This window comes from Homo sapiens, chromosome 20 (assembly GCF_000001405.40).
Source record: "Homo sapiens chromosome 20, GRCh38.p14 Primary Assembly".
In the NCBI taxonomy this organism is placed as follows: domain Eukaryota; kingdom Metazoa; phylum Chordata; class Mammalia; order Primates; family Hominidae; genus Homo; species Homo sapiens.
This window is the reverse complement of record NC_000020.11, coordinates 44,311,509-44,333,958: the sequence shown is the minus strand read 5'-3', so window position 1 is coordinate 44,333,958 and position 22,450 is coordinate 44,311,509. Positions and strand designations below refer to the sequence as shown.

General features: G+C 45.2%; 1 annotated feature.

Moving 5' to 3' along the window:
• Window positions 9,301-9,853: an enhancer, noted in NCBI's record as "OCT4-NANOG-H3K27ac-H3K4me1 hESC enhancer chr20:42952746-42953298 (GRCh37/hg19 assembly coordinates)". NCBI's record gives its function as "activates a minimal SCP1, AML or CMV promoter by ChIP-STARR-seq in naive and primed H9 embryonic stem cells {active_cell/tissue: H9 hESC(naive and primed)}" and the evidence as "EXISTENCE:reporter gene assay evidence [ECO:0000049][PMID:30033119]".

Sequence of the window (22,450 nt, the reverse complement as noted above, 5' to 3'; positions counted from 1 at the left end):
CACAGCTCCCTTTGGGGTAGTGACTCCACCCATTGTATAGATGAAGGAACCGAGGCACACGTGAGCCTCAGTGACTTGTCCTAGGGATGGAGACTGTTTGTGTGGTAACCTGGGTCCTGGCAGTGAACGTCCTTGCACATGTGCAGAAGGCGCAGGCATCTGCTGTACACACAACACATGTATGTGCACACACACACACACGTTTGTGCACACACTCATATAAGCACATCCCCTCCCACAAATCACAGAGAGCTCGTCCCCGCCAGGCCCTCATATCCTCTCCATTGTACACCACAGGTGTCCTGTATAAATATACAGAAACCCACAGGTTACACACTTAAGCATGTCTACTACATATAAGCTGATGGTATTAGCTACTTTCTCATAAGTGGCCAGCACTGTTTTAAGCACATTACATGGGCAATCTCATTTAATCTTCAGAATAACCCTATTATTATCATCATCCACATTTTTATATACATGAAGAAACTAAGGCACAAAGAGGTGAGTCATTTGCCCCGGGTCACACATCCTGTGGGTGGGAGAGGTGGGACAGGCACCCCCATACTGCCTCTCCACAGTGTTGAGAGACAGACAACGAGGAAGACCCCACAGTCCAGCCACACAGACAAGACCACCATCGCCTACTCCACACACTCATGCATCCACAGAAACACAGAAATTCACTCTCGTAGCAAACACACAGCCACATCCCAGTCAGACCCTCTCTGCTGCCCCCATTGAAGAAAGCTGGTCCCAGTTGCATTTTGGCAGGTTTTCAATGGGTAAAATATTAGGGGTGGGGTCAGGAAATAATCAGGGGTGACCCAAATTATTTTTATTTATTTATTTTTATTTTATTTTATTTTGAGATAGAGTTTCACTCTTGTTGCCTAGGCTGGAGTGCCGTGGCACAATCTCATCTCACTGAAACTTCTGCCTCCCAGGTTCAAGCAATTCTCCTTCCTCAGCTCCCAAGTAGCTGGGATTACAGGCACCCACAACCGTGGCCTGGCTAATTTTTGTATTTTTAGTAGAGATGGGGTTTCACCATGTTGGCCAGGCTGGTCTCAAACTCCCTCCCAAAGTGTTGGAATTACAGGTGTGAGCCACTGCGCCTGGCCTATTTGTATTTTTATTTTAGTTTTGAGACAGGGTCTTGCTCTGTTGGCCAGGCTGGGGTGCAGTGGCACGATTATGACTGAGTGCAGCCTCGATCTCCCAGGTTCAAATGATCCTGTCGCCTCAGCTTCCCCAAGCAGCTGGGACTATAGGCACGTGCTACCATGCGGCTGATTTTTAAAATGTTTAGTGGAGACAAGGTCTCACTATGTTGACTAGGCTGGTCTGGAACTCCTAAGCTCAAGCAATCCTCTTACCTTGGCCTCCCGAAGTTCTGGGATTACCTGTGTAGGCCACTGCACTTGGGCCAGCTCAAGTTAATGCCCTGGACATTTATCTCGCGTTAGGGTAAGAACGTCTTTCTCACCCTTGGATTTGACCAACTGAATTCAGCTACTGCTCCATCCTCACCCCTACTGGAATTCTCTCTGGGCTTGGACAAGCAAAGAGAACATTCTTCCAGAAAGTAGTAGTATTTGAGACAGTGCAGCTTGGTGGGTGATAGAGCAGGCTCTGCATCCAGATAGCCTGGGTTCATGGATCAATTCCATGGCTTTTTAGCTGTGTGACCATCAGCAATTTACTTAACCCTTCTGTGCCTCAGTTTCCTCATCTATAAGATGCAGCTATCTCATAGCATGGCTGTGAGGATTAAATGAGTTAGTACATCTTAAGACACTTGACACAATGCCTGGCACAGAGCAAACAGTCAATAAATAATGAATAATAATAGCTAATAACAATAACAGTCAACATTTCTGTAGCACATACCAGATGCCAGACACTAAATGTCTTAGGGACATGACTTCAGGTAAGCCTCATTCCAGTTTCACGGGTTGGGTTTCAGGATCCCCATTCTATAGACAAGGAAGTGGAAACTCAGAGAGGTTAAGTAACTTGCTCAAGTTCACACAGCTAGTTCCAGTGGAAACTAGATTCCAAGGCCAGGTCTCTCTGACTCTTACCCAGTGTTCTTTTCACCCAGTCAAGTTGTTTTTGGCTGGGTGCGGTAGCTCACGCCTGTAATCCAAGCATTTTGGGAGGCTGAGGCAGGTGGATCACTTGAGGCCAGGAGTTCAAGACCAGCCTGATCAACATGGCGAAACCCCATCTCTACCAAAAAATACAAGAAATTAGCTGGGCATGGTGGCGACGTCTGTAGTCCCAGCTACTCGGGAGGCTGAGGCACGAGAATTGCTTGAACCCAGGAGGCGGAGATTGCAATGAGCCGAGATTGTGCCACTGCACAACAGCCTGGGTAACAGAGCAAGACTCTGTCTCAAAACAAACAAAGAAAAAAGTTGTTTTTGAGAAGAGACTGTGGGGCAAGAGCCTGGTGCTTGAGAGAGGAGACTGAGAAAGCAGGAAGGCCCTTAGAGATGATCTAGGTCATGTACCCATTTGTCAGTTGAGGAAAGAGGTTCAGAGAGGTTAAGTGATTTGTCCAAAGTCACACAGGAACAGGTAGACTCAGGACTGCAACCCAGATCTATGTTACTCCAAATCCAAGCAGGAGGAGGGAGGAAGCCGGAGAGAAGGGTGTGTGAGTGGAAAAGAGCAGCGAGGATCCAGGCTCTGAGGAAACTCTTTTTTTTTTTTTTTTTGAGACAGAGTTTTGCTTTTGTTGCCCAGGCTGGAGTGCAATGGTGCGATCTCGGCTCACCACAACCTCCGCCTCACGGGTTCAAGCAATTCTCCTGCCTCAGCCTCCCGAGCAGCTGAGATTACAGGCATGCGCCCCACACCCGGGTAATTTTTTGTATTTTTAGTAGAGACAGGGTTTCTCCATGTTGGTCAGCTTGGTCTTGAACTCCTGACCTCAGGTGATCCATCTGCCTCGGGCTCCCAAAGTGCTGGGATTACAGGCATGAGCCAACATGCCCAGCCCTGCGGAAACTCTTAAAATTCAATGCCCCAGGTTCTTCAAAAGACAAACTGTAAGGAAACAAAGGGGATGGGAGGCAAATTACTATAGACTTAAAGGCTATACATTTGGGTGTAAAACTGTAAAGAAACAAAGAAATACTATAAAGGCAGGCTGGGGTGGGGCATTTAAGGAGAAAAAAAAAAAATATATATATATATATATATAATTTTTTGAGATGGAGTTTTGCTCTTTCTGCCCAGGCTGGAGTGCAATGACACTATCTCGGCTCACTGCAACCTCCTCTTCCCAGGTTCAAGCGATTCTTCTGCCTCAGCCTCCTGAGTAGCTGGGGTTACAGGTGCCCGCCACCATGCTCAGCTAATTTTTTGTATTTTTAGTAGAGACAGGGTTTCACCATGTCGGCCAGGCTGGTCTCAAACTCCTGAGCTCCTGTGATCCACCCGCCTCGGCACCCATCCCAGCACCTATCCTCCCAAAGTGCTGGGATTACAGGCGTGAGCCACTGCGCCCGGCAGGGCTTCTATTTCTTGATCTGGCCTGTGGTTACAAGCTGTTTACCTCATAATAACCTAGTAGGTTCCTTGTTTGTTTTATGTGACTTTCAATATTTGTGTTTTAATTAAAAATAAAAAGTTTTTTATTTTTTTAAAGAAAATAGCAACAGTAGCAATTTATACAGTGACACCTTCCATCTGTTACCCCTTAACCAAGCAGGAGAAATTTAACCTCCTTTTAACAGTTGAGGACACGGAGGTTCAAAGACAGAGGCAACTTGCCCAAAGTTATACAACAAATAAATCCCGGAGCTGGGACTCGACCCCCATAGCTTGATGAGTCTCCACAGCATAGCAGTGGTTGGGCTGCTGAGTCCCTGACCCAGCAAGGCGGGGTTGGAGAGGCCTCACAACAGATTCTGAGAAACCGACTTGGGGAATAAATCACACACAGAAGCATCTCTGAGCTCCAGGCTCTGTCTTCTGCTCTCTGCACTCAGAGAGCAGTGCCCCTCTTCTGCAGATCACCCCAAGGGAGGCAGGACCGTCTAATAAGCATGGACCAGAGCTGTGGATTCTGATAACTCTTGAGTGACCTGGAACAAGTCGTGGGCCTTCTCTGAGCATTTGCTCATCTGTAAAATGGGAACAATTAATAGGTGCTGGCCAGGCATGGTGGTTTACACCTATAATCCCAGCACTTTGGGAGGCCGAGGCGGGAGGATCACTTGAGCCTAAGAGATTGAGAGCAGCCTGGGCAACACTGTGAGACTCTATCTTAAAAAAAAAAAAAAGTACAAAAATTAGTCAGGCCTCGTGGTATGTGCCCATAGTTCTAGCTACTCAGGAGGCTGAAGAGGGAGGATTGCTTGAGCCCAGGAGGTTGAGGGTACAGTGAGCTGTGATCATGCCACTGCACTCCAGCCTGGGTGACAGAGGCCTGTCTCTAATAAATAAATAAATAAATAAACAGGTGCTAGCTGATTCGGCTATTAGGAGAAATTCAGTGAGATATGGAAAGTTTTTAGCACACAGAGCAAACTTAGTTCAATATCAGCTATTAACCTCGCCAAAGAGAAATGCTGTGTGATTCCATTGACAAGATACTCAAGAACAGGCAAACCTAACTTAGGGTAATGGAAGTCAGAACAGTGGCTGCTTTTGCGAGGAGTTGGGGGTTACTGGCTCAGAGGAGGCATGAGGGAGTTCCTACAGGGGTGTTTTACATGTTTTATATCTGTTTTTTTTTTTGTTTTGTTTTTAAGAGACGGGATTTTGCCATGTTGCCCAGGCTGGTATCTAACTCCTAGGCTCAAGCAATCCTCCTGCTTTGGCTTCCCAAAGTGCTGGGATTACAAGCATGAGCCACTGCTCCTAGCCGTTTGTTCAATTTAAAAGAGCACTTTCAACAGGTATAAAAGTAAAATTATATAGAAGAAAAAACACACACACCAACAGAAATATCCTGTTCTTGTCCCCCCAACACATACTTCCTACCCAATACACATAAATACCCTCCCCAATATAACCACTAGCCCCCCAACACTACACACATTGCTAATGACCTTGACACCAACGCAAATAGAAGCTACCTTCCAATAAAGCAGACACGCCTACACTCCACCTCAACCCCATCTATCTTTAAATAGAGATGCTTTTCCACTCTGGGTACATGGAAACATACCCTACCTGCAAACACACAGACACACACACAAACCAAACCCATGGACTGAATCGACTGAATAGGCAGATTCTTGAGCCAAACAGACATAGGTGGGATCTTGGCCCCACCTTTTCCTTACCATAGGACCAGAGCCAGTCATATCAACTCACGAGCCTCAGTTTCTTCATCTGTAAAATGGACCCAATAAGATCTTCTCTTACAAAATAAAATAAAGTAAAACAAAATAGGAAGAGTATAAATAAGCTCTTCGAAGGAAGGAGTTATGTCTAATTTGTATCGTCACTGACTCATGTCATCATTTTGGTAAACCTATGTGTTGTCAGTTTACTCCAGATTAATCTATGATTCGATACAATCCCAATCAAAATTCCAACAAGGTTTCTAGAGGAAGCTGGAGGGCTGATTCTAACCTTCCTGTAGAAGAACTACGGTTCAAGGATTTTCAAAACACTTCGTTCATGACAATGTTAGTAACAGGTGACGACTAAGCAGAAAACAGAAAAATAAGTGGAGGTCAGATGAAGAAAACCGGAAGCTGGAATGTGGAGGAGGGGGGAAGATGGCAGAGCAAGGAGAGGGAACCACTGGGTCCACCCTCTGAGGCTAGAGGGAATCAGATTCATTTTAAAAACTGAAGAAGGGCCCGGTGTGGTGGCTCACGCCTGTAATCCCAGCACTTTAAGAGGCCGAGGCAGGTGGATCACCTGGCAACCAGCCAGCCTGGGCAACATGGTGAAACCCCATCTCTACAGAAAATACAAAAATTAGCCAGGCATGGTGGTGCCTGCACCTGTAATCCCAGCTACCTGGGAGGCTGAGGCAGGAGAATCGCTTGAATCCAGGAGGCGGAGGCTGCAGTGAGCCGAGATGGCACCACTGCATTCCAGCCTGGGTGATAGAGTGAGACTCTGTGTCCAAAAAAAAAAAAGAACTAAAGACTGTCAGCACTTTGGGAAGCCAAGGTGTGCGGATTGCCTGAGCTCAGGAGTTGAAGACCAGCCTGGCCAACATAGGGAAACCCTGTCTCTACTAAAAATACAAAAAAATTAGCCAGGAGTGGTGGTGCGCACCTGTGATTCCCAGCTACTCAGGAGTCTGAGGCACGAGTACGGCTTGAACCTGGGAGGCAGAGGCTGCAGTGAGCTGAGATCACCCCACTGCACTCCAGCCTGGGCAATGGGGCAAGATCCTGTCTCAAAACGAAAACAAAAACAAACAAAAAAGCCCCTAAAACAAAAAAGAACAACAAAAAAGAACTGAAGAAGGTCAGGTTAGGGAGGACCTAGAGGGTCAAGAGTGTAAGAGGTGGATGGAGAGATGGGCTCAGAGGTAAACAGAGGCCAGTTTTTGCAGGGCTGGAGGCCTTGCCCTGTGCTGGGTCCTGGAGCCCTAAGGGGCTTGGGGGATGGGGGTGGGAAGGAGGTAGGGAGAGCCTAGCCCTTCAGGGAAGGGGGGGCCCCTCATCCCAGTCCATCTTCCTAGGACTGATTTCCCATGGACCCCTAGAACGCAGAACCAAAGAGGGCCCCTGAGCTGCCCCTCCTCATCCTTGCCCTCCCATTAAGTAAGGGGTTATCAAGGGCTGAGTTAGGGAGTCCCTCACCCTCCTGGGTGCTGGAAAGGACTAGCGCCCTTTGAAAAGGTGGGGAGGAGGTTCCTGGAAGGTGGAGCTGGCAAGGCCACGCGGACCGGGACCACCTTCAGAGGCAGAGCTGCCTCCACACCCGGTGCCAGGGGGTTGGGGTTGGCAGCGGGGAGGGCGAGGGCTGGCCTAGCGCGCTTAACCCCAGGGGGCGCCCCCAGCTCCTGTGCCGCGCGGGGCCCCGCAGTCCCGGGGTCAAGGCCGTGCCCCGGGGGGCTGGCGACCGGAGGACTGGGAAATCCTCGTCCCGGGACAGCTGCACAGCCAGGTGTGCCCTCGGAATTTGCTGTGTCGCCGGCCCGCGCAGCTGGAGCGGAAAAGGCTCGGCGTCAGCGCCCCTCCCCCCATCCCGCCCCCGCGCCCCCGCGCCTTGCCACCGGCCCGCGGGCGCCCCACATTCCTGAGCGGGCCGGGAGTTAGGGCCCCGCGGCCGTGTCCTGGCGCCAGACCCTAAGAATTCAACAGGGTAAGGGCGGGAAGGGACTTGTGAGACCCTTAGGGCCTCCTTGCTCTTCTGTGGCCTCAAAACTGAGCCAGCCTTCCCATCTGTTAAATGGGGATGGTGACACTGCGTGACCTATCTCTCAAGCTACTAGGAGCAGCTGAAGATATCTTTTTTATTTTATTTTATCTTATTTTATTTGTTTTGTTTTGTGTCAGGGTCTCTCTCACCTTGTCACCCAGGCTGGAGCGCAGTGGCACAGGCCTGCTCACTGCGGCCTGGAACTCCTGCGATCCTTCTGCCTCAGCCTCCTCAATATCTGGGACTACAGCCACACCACCACTTCGGGCTAATTTTTAAAAATTTACTTTTTGTTGAGACAAGGGTCTCACTATGTTGCCGAGGCTGGTCTGAACTCCTGAGCTCAAGTCATCCTGCCTCAGCCTCTGAAAGTGTTGGGATTACAGGTGTGAGCCACCATGCCCAGCCTATTTTATTTTATTTTAAAAATTTATTTATTTATTTTTTGTAATTTTATTTTATTTGTTGTTTTTTTTGAGACAGAGTCTTGCTCTGTTGCACAGGCTGGATTGCAGAGGTGCAATCTCCACTGACTTCAGCCTCTGCTGCCCCAGGTTCAAGTGATTCTCCTGCCTTAGCCTCCCAAGTAGCTGGGATTACAGGCAGCTGCCACCACGCCCGGCTAATTTTTGTATTTTTAGTAGAGACGAGGTTTCACCATGTTGGCCAGGCTGGTCTCAAACTCCTGGCCTCCAGTGATTCACCCGCCTTGGCTTCCCAAAGTGCTGGGATTATAGGCGTGAACCACTGTGCCCAGCCAAAAATGTATTTATTTTTGAGACAGAGTCTTATTCTGTTACCCAGGCAGGAGTGCAGTGGTGCCATCACGGCTCACTGCAGCCTGGAACCCCTGGCCTCAAGCCATCCTCCCACCTGTCTCCTGAGTAGCTGGGACTACAAGTGCATGCCACCATGCCTGGCTAATTTTTGTATTTTTTGGTAGAGACGAGGTTTTGTATGTTGCCCAGGCTGGTCTCGAACGTCTGGACTCAAGCAATCCGCCCGTCTCGGCCTCCCAAAGTGCTGGATTACAGGCCTGAGCCACCTCACTCTGTTGCCCAGGGTAGAGTGCAGTGGCGTGATAACAGCTCACTGCAGCCTCAAGCTCTGGGGCTCAAGAGATCCTCCTGCCTCAACCTCCCAAGTAGCTGGGATTACAGGAGTGCATCACCATGCCCAGCTTGTTTTTTATTTTATTTTATTTTTGAGACAGAGTCTTACTCTGTTGTCCAGGCTGGAGTGCAGTGGCATGATCTTGGCTCACTGCAACTTCTGCCTCTGAGGTTCAATCAATTCTCGTGCCTCAGCCTCCCGAGTAGCTGGGATTACAGGCGCACACCACCACACCTGGCTAATTTTTGTATTTTTAGTAGAGACTGGGTTTTTCCAAGTTGGCCAGGCTGGTCTCAAACTCCTGACTTCAAGACATCCATCTGCTCAGCCTCCCAAAATGTTGGGATTACAGGCTTGAGCCACTGCACCCGGCTGAGCCCAGCTAATTAAAAAAAATTTTTTTTGTAGAGATAGGGTCTCTCTGTTGCCCAGGCTGGTCTGGAACTCCTGGGCTCAAGTGATCCTCCCACCTCAGCCTCCCAAAGTGCTGGGTTATAAGCATAAGCCACCTTGCCTGACCTACCATTGGTCTTTCAGGTAACAAAAGCTTCCCTCTCCTCCCTGGCCATGACCTGTCTAAGATAGGAGGTACTGGAGTCTGCAGGAGACAGTGACCAGAGGAGGAAGCTGGAGGGTCTTCAAGACTGCCAGGGATGTGTAGGGTCCCAGGAACCCCCCCTGCCACTCAGCCTGCAACTGAGTAAAGCCGCCAGCCCTGCTGACCCTGTGCCCCAGATGGGCCCAGGTGATGGGTAGCCTGGGCTTGTGTGTGTTTCAGGGAACAGTCAGTGGAGACAAGCCCTTCCCAGTTGGGCAGTCAGGCAGCCTGGCCTCTGGCAGACACCAGCTGTGCTCAGCTGCCTCACCCCAGGGAGTGGCTAGTCGTCCCTTCCTGGCAGAAGGAGAGGTGGCTAGAGGTTAGTAATGGGGGAGGCATTGCAGAGGAGAACTCAGAAGGAAGGAGCTGGTGCTGGAGATGAATCCTCCTGTTCACTGGCCAGTAGCTGTGGACAAAGAGGGCCTCCCACTGGGAGAATTACTGGGCTGCTGCCCCTGACTCCCAACCCAGAGTGAATTATTTCATGCACATCAGCCAACACAAGGGCACCTGCTGGTTGCTTTTCCTGGAATGACTGCTTCCCACTGTTCCTCTGGCCAATCCTTCAGATCTCGACTTAGACAGAAATCATCCCTTCCAAGAACTCTTCCCTGACCCCAAGCACCCTCTACTTAAACCATTGTCATTTTATCACAGCATCTTTCAGACTTGATAGAGCAGAAAATCCCTTTCACACAGATGTATAATCTTGGGAACTCCTTAAGATTAAAACAATGATAATTTCTTTTTTTTTTCTTTGCATCACTCCAAAATAATATCTTTTTTTTTTTTTTTTGAGACGGAGTCTCGCTCTGTTGCCCAGGCTGGAGTGCAGTGGCACGATCTCGGATCACTGCAAGCTCCGCCTCCCGGGTTCACGCCATTCTCCTGCCTCAGCCTCCCGAGTAGCTGGGACTACAGGCACCCACCACCACACCTGGCTAATTTTTTGTATTTTTAGTAGAGATGGAGTTTCACTGTGTTAGCCAGGATGGTCTCGATCTCCTGACCTCGTGATCCACCCGCCTCAGCCTCCCAAAGTGCTGGGATTACAGGCGTGAGCCACCACACCTGGCTCAAAATAATAATTTCATAATTTTTTATTATTTTCCATTGTTTCTCTTCTAGTTGTAAAGAAGCAATTTAAATTTAAAAATGATTTCCTGGCCGGGCGCGGTAGCTCACGCCTGTAATCCCAGCACTTTGGGAGGCTGAGGTGGGTGGATCACGAGGTCAGGAGATCGAGACCATCCTGGCTAACACAGTGAAACTCCATCTCTACTAAAAATACAAAAAATTAGCCAGGTGTGGTGGCAGATGCCTGTAGTCCCAGCTACTTGGGAGGCTGAGGCAGGAGAATGGAGTGAACCCGGGAGGCAGAGCTTGCAGTGAGCCGAAATTGAGCCACTGCACTCCAGCCTGGGCAACAGAGCAAGACTCCATCTCAAAAAAGAAAAAATGATTTCCTTTAGATCACTGTGTTAATAATGATTGTTTAATTTATTCAACCACAAACTTCTAGAACACAGTTCTAGACACTTGGGATGCATGAATGAGCAAGACAGATAAAGTTACCTACCCTCTGGAGCTGACATTCCAGGGGAGACAGAAAATAAACACACAAATAAGTAAATTATAAAGTATATTTTAAATGGAATCTTTGATGGATACTCCTAACCCATAAAGACCTCCTACATTTTGCCATTTAACCAAGTGACACAAGCCTATTTATTTATGTGTTTATTTATGTATTTTAGAGACAGGGTCTTGCCCCGTTGCCCAGGCAGGAGTGCAGTGGTGAAATCATAGCTCCCTGTAACCAACTTACTTGATTTTTTATTCTTGAGACAAGAGTCTCGGTCTGTCACCCAGCCTGGAGTGCAGTGGTGCAATCTCAGCTCACTGCAAACTCTGCCTCCCAGGTTCAAGTGATTCTCGTGCCTCAGCCTGCCAAGTAGCTGGGACTACAGGCACACGCCACCACGCCCAGCTAATTTTTGTATTTTTAGTAGAGATCGGGTTTCACTGTGTTGGCCAGGCTGGTCTCGAACTCCTGACCTCAAGTGATCTGCCCACCTCAGCCTCCCAAAGTGCTGGGATTACAGGCGTGAGCCACTTTGCTTGGCCACCAATTTACTTTAAAATGGAAATAAACACTCTCATTTTTTAGTATTCTACCCCAGCAGAATTTAATCCCCTTATGAATCACTGGCATTTTAACTTAATATGGTTATAAAGAACAATTTTTTTTTTTGAGACAGGGTCTCACTTTGTCTTCCACGCAAGAGTTCAGTGGCACAATCACAGCTCACTGCAGCCTCAACTGCCCAGGCTCAAGTGATCCTCCGGCCTCAGCCTCCCAAATGGCTAGGCATATGACACCACTTTGACAAATTTTTTTGTTGTTGTTGTCTTGTTTTTGAGGCAAAATCTTGCTTTGTCGCCCAGGCTGGAGTACAGTGGTGCGATCTCAGCTCACTGCAACCTCTGCCTCCCAGGTTCAAGGGATTCTCGTGCCTCAGCCCCCCGAGTAGCTGGGCCTATAGGCGTGCCCCACCACGCCCAGCTAATTTTTGTATTTTTAGTGGAGATGGGGTTTCACCATGTTGGCCATGCTGGTCTCAAACTCCTGACCCCAAGTGATCTGCTGCCTCGGCCTCCCAAAGTGTTGGTGTTACAGGTATGAGCTACTGAACCTGGCCTAATTTTTTTTTGTTTGTTTGTTTTAAGAGATGTGGTCTAGCTGTGTTGCCCAGGCTGGTCTCAAATTCCCAGGCTCAAGCAATCCTCCCACTTTGGCCTCCCAAAGTACTGGGGTTACTGGTGTGAGCCACCACACCCAGCCCAAAAATTCTTTATGATATACTCCTTTGGGTTAAGGGAAAAAAAGAGAAAAATTCTTTATGAGAAGCATTTTAAACTTAAATTTCCTTTTACTTTAATCTTTATATATACACATACTAATTAATATATAATATATAATCATATATTAATAATACATAATATTATATATATATATAAATGTCCAACCTGGCCAAAGCACAATCATAACCTCAGATGATTTTCATGTAACAATTCCACAAATTTAGTGATTTTATGTTTTTCAAAAACTCAAACTGCCATCAAAATAAAAAGACAAGTAAAAGTGATTTTTTAAAAACTCAAAAAGTTTTATTTGCCTAAGAGAGACTCAGAGACTACTCTTGCCAAAACAGTGACATATATATGGAGTTTGAAATTACAGTTGGCAATAAGAAAATGTTGCTTTTTTGAGGCAGATGTATTTTTGGTTATAGTTCATTTCCACAGTAAACGTGAAGCCATGTGCTTCTGCAAAATCCAACTCTAAGAAGCCTAAAATATAAAATTCTGAGCAAAGGTCAAAATTCTGATTATTTGATTTTTAAAATTTAAAATTTATAAGGTGAATTTTTAGAGATTTAAAGTGCTGCTGATATTTATTTTATTAAATTTTTCTCAGCCAGGTGCAGTGTCTTGTGCCTGTAGTCCCAATATTTTGGGAGGCTGGGCAAGAGGATTGCTTGAGCCTAGGAGTTCCAGACCAGCCTGGACAGCATAGTGAGACCTTGTCTCTACAAAAAAAAAAAAAAAAAAAAAAAAAAAAGCTTTAAAAATTAGCCAAGCATGGTGACACATGGTGGTGGGAGGATCATTTGAGCCCAGGAGGTGGAGGTTTCAGTAAGCCAAGATCTCACCACTGCACTCCAGCCTGGGTGACAGAGCAAGACCCTGTCTCAAAACAAACAAACAAAAAAACCACAAAAACAAAAAAAAGATTTTTCTGTTTATGAGTATCTGCAACTCACTCTTCTTTAGTGAATGTGACTCAGTATCGCAAACTTAAATTTTTACTTGCATGTTACATATGGTGATATTCTAATTCTATCATTCCTTCTTCATTTATTGAGATATTCCTTTTTTTTTCTTTTTTTTTTTTCCCGACAGAGTCTTGCTCTGTCACCCAGGCTGGAGTGCAGTGGCTCTAACTTGGCTCACTGCAACCTCTGCCTCCGAGGTTCAAGTGATTCTCCTGCCTCAGCCTCCCAAGTAGCTGGAATTACAGGCACGTGCCACCAGGCTTGGCTGATTTTTGTATCCTTAGTAGAGATGGGGTTTCACCATGTTGGCCAGGGGTTTCACCATGTCGGCCAGGCTGATCTTGAACTCTTGACCTTGTGATCCACCCGCCTCGGCCTCCCAAAGTGCTGGGATTACAGGTGTGAGCCACCATGCCCAGCCATTTATTGAGATATTTCTATAAAAAGAAGCTCACCTACTGTTTGGCTGCTCAGTGGTTCAGTTCACATAGGAAAGACAGAAAAAAATTACTTGATTCTTTACTTTTGTTTACTAGTTTTCAAAATAATGAGTTGGTTCCTCTGAAAGTGGGCATTAGTTTTTAAAGTACCATTGTGAACCCATGGATTTAAACCTATTTGTGTGTTTCCATTCATTGCCGTTATTATTTATGTTCAAGTTGCCCATCTTTGGCCTGTGGGAGGGTTTTCTATTGATTCCTGTGTTCTCCTGACCTTAGCAGTCTTAGAGAGCTTACGGCAACTGTTAAAATAAAAACTTTAGACAAAATAAATTTAACAGGCTTTCTTTGAGCAAAGAATGCTTCATGAAATGGGCAGCACTCAAAACTGGAAGAGGTTCAGAGAGCTTCACTCTACTAGCTGTGTGAGCAGCAAGCTTTTACAGGCTGACCACAGAAGCAAAAAAAAAGCAGAAATCACCTAATTGGCTACAACTAGGCATTTGTCTTATTTGGGTATGGTGTGATGGGAAGACCCTAGTTACACAACCAATCAGCTGGTTGGCTGTTTGTGATTGACTGAGACTGTTTTGTTTTATTTTGGTTTTATGTCAGTTACAAGAAATGCCTCCCAGTTTTGGTTTGTTTACATAAGAGCTCTAGGCACAGAGACAACCTCAGCCTAATGATCTCCTTATTTGCTTTAACATTTCCTTGCTTTTGGTTGACAAGATGATCCAGCCTCATGTTGAATATTCTGCCTCAAACCTGGGAAACTATGTTCCTAAAGGGTGAAAAATCTGCGGTTATTAAAGAAACTCACCTATCTAAGACATTAGAAGTCCCAACATCTAGCCCAATGCTTGGTGCAGAGTAAGTAGCTAATAAATGTTAGTTGATTGAATAACTTAATGATTATCACTTTCACTAGATTTTAAGTTCCTTGAGGTCAGAGACCATGTACTTCTTTTTTTAAAAAAAAAAGTTTATTGTAAATTGACAAATTATAGTTGTATATATTTATGGGATACAAAGTGGTGTTATGATTTATGAATACAGTATGGAATCATTAAATCAAGCTAATTTACATATTCATTATCTCAAATACTTATCATCTTTCATAGCAAGAACATTTGAAATTTACTTTTAATGATTTTGAAATGTACAGTACACTATTATGCACTATATTCACCATGCCATGCAATAGCCCTCAAAAAAAATCAACTTATTCCTTCTGTGTATCTAAGGCTTTGTACCCTTTTACCATCATCTCCTCATTCCCGCTTCACCCCCTAGCCTTTGGTAACCGTAATTCTGTTCTTTGCTTCTATGTGTTCGATTGTTTTATTGTTTTATTTTTTATTTTTTATTTTTTTGGAGGTGGAGTCTCGCTCTGTCGCCCAGGCTGGAGTGCAGTGGCACAATCTCGGATCACTTCAACCTCCACCTCCCCAGTTCAGGTTCAAGCGATTCTCCTGCCTCAGCCTCCTGAGTAGCTGGGATTACAGGCGCCTACCACCACGCCGGGCTGATTTTTGTATTTTTAGTAGAGATAGGGTTTCACCATGTTGGTCAGGCTGGTCTTGAACGCCTGACCTCGGGTGATCCGCCTGCCTCGGCCTCCCAAAGTGTTGGGATTACAGGCGTGAGCCACCATGCCCGGCCGTGTTGGATTGTTTTAGATTCCACATATAAGTATTGTCTTTGTCCACAAGGTATTTGTCTTTGTGTGCCTAGCTTATTTAAATATGTATAACGTTCTCCAATTCCACCTGCATTGCCACAGATGACAGAATTTCTTTCCTTTTTTAAAGGCTGAATAGTATTTCAGTGGGTATATATACCACATTTTCTTTATCCATCCATCCACTCAGTGATGGACACTTAGGCTGATTCTGTAACTTGGCTGTTGTGAACAGTGCTACAATGTACTTGGGAGTGCAGGCATCTCTTTGACATACTGATTTCAACTCTTGTGGGTGAATACCCAGAGTGGGATTGCTGGATCATATGGTAATCCTGTTTTTAGTTTTTGAGGAACCTCCATACAGTTTTTCATAATGCTGGTACTAATTTATATTCCCACCAACAGTGTACAAGTGCTGTCTTTTCTTCACATCCTCATCAACACTTATCTTTTGTCTTTTTTATAATAGCCTAATTGCCATTCTAACAGGTATAAGGTGATATTGCATTGTGGTTTTAATTTGCATTTTCCTAATGATTAGTTATGTTGATGAGCATTTTTTCATATATCTGTTGGCCATTTCTATGTTGTCTTGTTTTGAGAAATAGCTATTCAGATCCTTTGCCTTTTCTTTTTTCTTATTTTTTTAGAGACAGGGTTTCACTGTGTTGCCCAGGATGGAGTGCAGTGGAGTGATCATAGCTCACTACAGCCTCGAACTCCTTGGCTCAAGCCATCTCCCCACCTTAGCCTTCCAAGTAGCTGAGACTACAGGTGGAAGCTACCCACACCCAGCCATTTGCCCATTTTAAAATAAGATTATTTGTTTTCTTTCTATAGAGTTGTTTAAGTTCTTTCTATATTTTGGACATTAATCCCTTATAAGACTTATGGTTTGCAAATGTTTTATCCCAATATGTGCATTGTCTCTTTACTCTGTTAATTATTTCCTTTGTTGTGCACAAGCTATTTATTTATTTATACAGAGTTTCACTCTGTCACCCAGGCTGGAGTGCAGTGGCGCAATCTCGGCTCATTGCAACCTCTGCCTCCCAGGTTCAAGTGATATTCCTGCCTTGGCCTCCTGAGTAGCCAGGATTACAGGTGCCCGTCACCATGCCCAGCTAATTTTTGTATTTTTAGTAGAGACGGGGTTTCACCATGTTGGCCTGGCTGGTCTCAAACTCCTGACCTCAGGTGATCCACCTGCGTTGGCCTCCCAAAGTGCTAGGATTACAGGTGTGAGCCACCGCTCCTGGCCTGCTTTTTATTTTTATGTAATCCCCTTTGTCTGTTTTTGCTTCTCTTGCCTGTACTTTCAGGGTCAAATTATCTTTGCCTAAACCAATGTTGCGTAGCTTTTCCCATATGTTTTCTTCTAGTAGTTTTATAATTTCTTGTATTATATTAAGTCTCTATTCCATTTTCAGTTGATTTTTGTCCATAGTGTGAGATAAGGATCCAGTTTCATTCTTCTGCATATGGATATCCAGTTTTCCCCAACATCATTTATTGAAGAGACTGTCCTTTTCCTGTTGTGTATCCATGGCATCTTTGTCAAAAGTCAATTGACCATATATGCATGGGTTCATTTCTGGGCTCTCTACTCTGTTCCATTGGTTGCTATGTCTATTTTTATGACATTACTATGCTGTTTTAATTACTGTTGTTTTGTGGTATAGTTTTAAATCAAGTAGTAAGATGTCTCCAGCTTTGTTTTTTTACTCATTATTGCCTTGGCTATTTGAGTTTTTTGTGGTTCCATATGAATTTTAGGAAGGTATTTTTCTATTTCTATGAAAAAGGACATTGGCATTTTGGTAGGGATTGCATTGAATCTATAGCTCGCTTTGGGCAGTATGGGCACTTTAACAATATTAATTCTTCCAGTCCATGAACACTGGATATCTTTTCATTTATTTGTGCAGATACCATATACTTCTAATAAGTATTTGTAGAATAGACAAATGAAAGGTGAAAACCAACAATTAGGTGGTCCCACTGAAGTCTCAGGCAGGGCAGAACCCTGAAACTTGTGGTCTTCTATTATCCTCTGGTGGGAAGTGTAGGAGCATTGTTTTCTAATGCCTCAAACTCTCTTAATGCAGTGTTTTCCAAACTACAGGTTCTTACCCTTTAGTGGGTTATAAAATCATTTCAGTGGGTCATGACCAGCATTTTAAAAAATTGAATTAAATTTCTGAGTAGAAAACATCAGAGTACTTCACACATGGTAGAGGAAAATTCTGCCATAAATTGTCATAAAACTATTTCTTTTTTTCTTTTTCCTTTTTCTTTTTTTTCTTTTCTTTTTTTTTTGAGACAGAGTCTCACCCTGTCACCCAGACTGGAGTGCAGTGGCGCAGTCTCAACTCACTGCAACCTCCACCTCCCGGGTTCAAGTGATTCTCCTGCCTCAGCCTGCTGAGTAGCTGGGACTACAGGCATGTGCGACCACACCCAGCTCATTTTTGTATTTTTAGTAGAGTCAGGGTTTTACCATGTTGGCCAGGCTGGTCTCAAACTCCTGACCTCAGGTGATCCGCCCGCCTCTGCCTCTCAAAGTGCTGGGATTACAGGCGTGAGCCACCGCGCCCAGACATAAAACTATTTCTATATTCCTATTAGCATATATATTTGCTTATACACTATATAAATTTTTATGTGTGTACTAGGCCACAACCAGTGATTTGTTGATAAAAGTTTAACTATTGGCCGGGCGCGGTGGCTCACGCCTATAATCCCAGCACTTTGGGAGGCTGAGGCGGGCAGATCACGAGGTCAGGAGATCGAGACCATCCTGGCTAACACGGTGAAACCCCGTCTCTACTAAAAATACAAAAAATCAGCCGGGAGTGGTGGCAGGCGCCTGTAGTCCCAGCTGCTCAGAGGCTGAGGCAGGAGAATGGCGTGAACCCGGGAGGCGGAGCTTGCAGAGAGCCGAGATCGCCGCTACCGTACTCCAGCCTGGGCGACAGAGGCAGACTCTGTCTCAAAAAAAAAAAAAAAAAAAAAAGTTTAACTATTAAGGCCAGGCGTGGTGGCTCACACCTGCCAACATGGTAAAACCCCATCCGTACTAAAAATACAAAAATTATCCAGGTGTGGTGATGCATGTCTGTAATCCCAGCTACTTAGGAGGCTGAGGCAGGAGAATCGCTTGAACCTGGGAGGTGGAGGTTGCGGTGAGCCGAGATCGTGCCACTGCGCTCCAGCCTGGGAGACAAAGCAAGACTCTGTCTCAAAAAAATAAAAAATAAAATAAAATAAAGGTTTACTATTGGCTCTCTAGGGAAACATGTATAAGCATATACCTACCTATGTTTATTATAAATGTTTCTTAATGTGTAGCACATTATTTACAAATAATAAAATATATGGCCAGGCTTGGTGGCTTACACCTGTAATCCCAGCACTTTAGGAGGTTGAGATGTGCAGATTGCTTGAGCCCAGGAGTTTGAGACCAGCCTGGGCAACATGGCAAAACCACATCTGTACCAAAAAATGTACAAAAATTAGCTAGAGGTGATGGCTGATTTAGTCCGCCTGTAGTCCCAGCTACTCGGGATGCTGAGGTGGGAGGATCACTTGAGCCCAGGAGATTAAGGCTGCAGTGAGCCATAATCACACCACTGCACTCCAGCCTGGGCAACAGAGTGAGAACTTGTCTTAAAAAAAAAAAAAAGAAAGAAAGAAAAGAAATATATAAATACTCTTTGTTATAACTATAGCTAATTGATTCTCACAGAATGCTTTTATTGATTTTTGTTGGATTCTTGTAACCATAGGCAACCTGTGGTTTCAATTCAACCATGTTTTGACAAATGGAGTTGACTCTCAATGTAGACAAACCAAATAAATCCCTGATTTGTAGCACCTGCCAATTTCCATAGTGTAAATACTCCCCCTGTGGCTGATTTCAAGCTCTCAATGTGACATCACTGAATAGATTTGGGAAGAGTTGTGCAGGAGCTTACCATACAGGAACAATAGATGTAAGTTACCCCAAGAGCATAGATAATAATAAAACATAGTAAAATAATTAGTAACTAATGAGTTTTGAGTATTTTCAGTTTGTTTTTTTATATATGTAACTTTTTTTTTTTTTGAGAGAGGATTTTGCTCTGTTACTCAGGCTGGAGAGCAGTGGCATGATCACAGCTTACTGCAGCCTCAGTCTCCTGGGCTCAAGCCATCCTCCCACCTCAGCCTCCTGAGTAGCTGGGACTGCAGGCACACACCACCATGTTTGGCTAATTTTCGTATTTTTTGTAGAGATGGGATCTCCCTATGTTACCCAGGCTGGTCTGGAACTCCTGGGCTTAAGCGATTCACCTGTCTTGGCCTCCCAAAGTGCTGGGATTACAGGGGTGAGCCAACAGGCCCAGGCCCTATAATGCAGTTCTTAATATGGCTGTGTTTGACAATCACCCCGCAAAAGTTCTGAAAATTTAATCATCAGCTCTTGCAGGCTGGTATGAGTTGACTACAGCACATCATTTCACTCACAACATAAATATGTATTTCCCAATACTGATTCAATTTTTTTTTAAATACAAAAACTTCTCTAGAGACCTGCAACAATTTTTTCAGGTTGAGTTTAACCCAGTCTTCAAAAATCTCCAGCCATGGTGGCCAAGCGTGGTGGCTCATGCCTGTAATCCCAGCACTTTGGATGCTGAGGCAGGAGGATTGCTTGAGGCCAGGAGTTCAAGGCTACAGTGAGCTATGATCGCACCACTGCCCTCCAGCCTGGGAGTGCAGAGCAAGATCCTGTCTCAAAAAAAAAAAAAAAAAGAAAAAGAAAAAAAGAAAAGAGAAAATGGAAGGAAGGAAGGAAGGGAGGGAGGGAAAGAAAACTCTCCAGGAATGAAACTGCAGTTTCAAAGGAAACAAACCCATTTCCTTTCTCAAAAATACAAATCCTGAACCTTTCAGAAGGTACTCTTTGGACAGTCCCTCGGGGTGATATTTAGTGTTTATATTCACCGAGCAGTCTTTCCCTCCTTCTTGGGTTGGGGGACGTATCTGGATTTTCTTTGGAGGAACCACACAGCTAATAAGGAGGAGAACCGGCACTCAAACCCAGCATCCCTGCTCTTAATTCTTATGCTGTTTGCTAAGGAAAGCCACAGTAATTGAGCACCTGACAAACTCAAGGAGACAGAGATGGTATCAGATACTATTTACAAGCTGCCTTCATAAATAACCCCTTTCTGGCTATGTAGTTTTTATTCCCAATCATGAAATGCCAAATTGGTATAATTATCACTATATTTTATTTTTTAAACCAAGCATTCTGAAGGCCTGGAAGCATCTTGCTATATAAGAACTCTAATCAGATAAATGCAATTTACAGATATGAAGGTCATCTTAAGATGGTTTTAAGGAATTATTATTTTCATTAATTTGTTGATTCTCTGCATGAGACTATAAACATTAGTCCATTGTAGGCATAAATCAGGCTAACATTTCCCAGTGTGGTAGCTGTCCTTGGTATAGAGACACAAAATTATTTTGGGCAGCTAGTGATGATGAATATTTCGATAGAAATTTTTCTTTGGGCCGGGTGTGGTGGCTCACGCCTGTAATCCCAGCACTTTGAGAGGCAGAGGCAGGAAGATCACTTGAGGCTAGGAGTTGGAGACCAGCCTGGTCAACATGGCGAAACCCTGTCTAAAAATACAAAAAAATTAGCCAGGTGTGGTGGCATGTGCCTGTAGTCCCAGCTGCTTGGGAGGGTGAGGCAGGAGACTACCTTGAACCCGGGAGGCAGAGGTTACAGTGAGCCAAGATCAAAATAGCTTGGCCTCCCAAAGTGCTGGGATTACAGGCGTGAGCCACCACGTCTGGCCTAAAATGCCCATCTCTTGATATGACTATATATGTGTGTATTGGCTGGGTTTGTGGCTTTTGGAATAAACTTCTGTTGTTTAAAACAAGTTTAGGGTTGGGCACGGTGGCTCGCACCTGTAATCCTAGCACTTTGGGAGGCCGAGGCAGGAGGATCACTGGAGCCCAGGCGTTCGAGATCAACCTGGGCAACATAGTGAGACCCCATCTCTATTTAAAACTAAAGAAAAAAAAAGGAATAAAAATAAACTGAGTTTATAGTAATTTATTAGAGCTGCCACAGGAAACTAACATTGGGGTAAGGGAATGAGTCCAAGGTTGGGAACTGAAATAGACACCCAGCCCTAACCAGGGGTGAGGGGTTAGTTTTGTGATAAACTGAGCAACTGAGTCTCCAACAACTTCATGTGATCTCCCCATTAACCCCCAGCATCCAGCATTTTCATCCAACAGGCATAGATAGCTGTTTTGTGTTTCTTTGTGTGCTTTTTAAGACGGTCTCGCTCCGTGGCCCAGGCTGGAGTGCAATGGGACCATCACAGCTCACTGCAACCTCAAATTCCTGGGCTCAAGCAATCCTCCCACCTCAGCCTCCTGAGTAGCTGGGACCACAGGCCTGAGCCACCAAGTCAGCTAGTTTTTAAAATTATTTCTTATAGATACTGAGTCTCACTGTGTTGCCCAGGTGAAAATAAATTTAGAAATTTAAACTTTAAATGTAATAATTGCACCAGGTGAGATGGCTCACTCCTGTAATCTCAGCACTTTGGGAGGTGAAGGCTGGCAGATCACTTGAGGTTAAGATTTGGAGAGGTCAGATCACTTGAGGACAGGAGTTGGTCAGCCTGGCCGACATGGTGAAACCCCATCTCTACTAAAAATACAAAAATTAGCTGGGTGTGGTGGTGCGTGCCTGTAATCCCAGCTACTCGGGAGGCTGAGGCAGGAGAATCGCTTGAACCTGGGAGGCAGAGGCCTGCAGTGAGCTGAGATCGCGCCACTGCATTCCAGCCTGGGCAACAGAGCGAGACTATGTCTCTAAATAAATTAATTATATTAATTAATTAATTTAATAACTGCAGAGCGTGGTGGCTCACACTTGTAATTGCAGCATTTTAGGAAGCCGAGGCAGGAGGATCGCTTGAGCCCAGGAGTTTGAGACCAGCCTCGACAACGAAGCAAAACCCTGTCTCTACAGAAATAAAAATAAAAAAAATTAGCCAGGTGTGGTGGTGCCCGCCTGTGGTCCCAGCTACTCGGGAGGCTGAGGTGGGAGTATTGCTTGAGACCAGAAATTTGAGGTTGCGGTGAGCTGCGACGGTGCCATTGCACTCCAGCCTGGGCGACAGAGAGGGACCCCCCCCCAACTAACTAATAAATAAATAAATACAATAATTATTCCTAAGGAAACTTCATCTCATGTCCCTCTACGTGTGCCAACGTAATGAACCCCTGAGCTCATAAACTAGCTTTTGGGAAAGGTTGATCTCCTCTTGTCTCTCGCATTTTACAGATGAGAAAACTAAGACTCAGATGGCAGAGGTGTCTCCGAGGCTCCAAGAAAGAT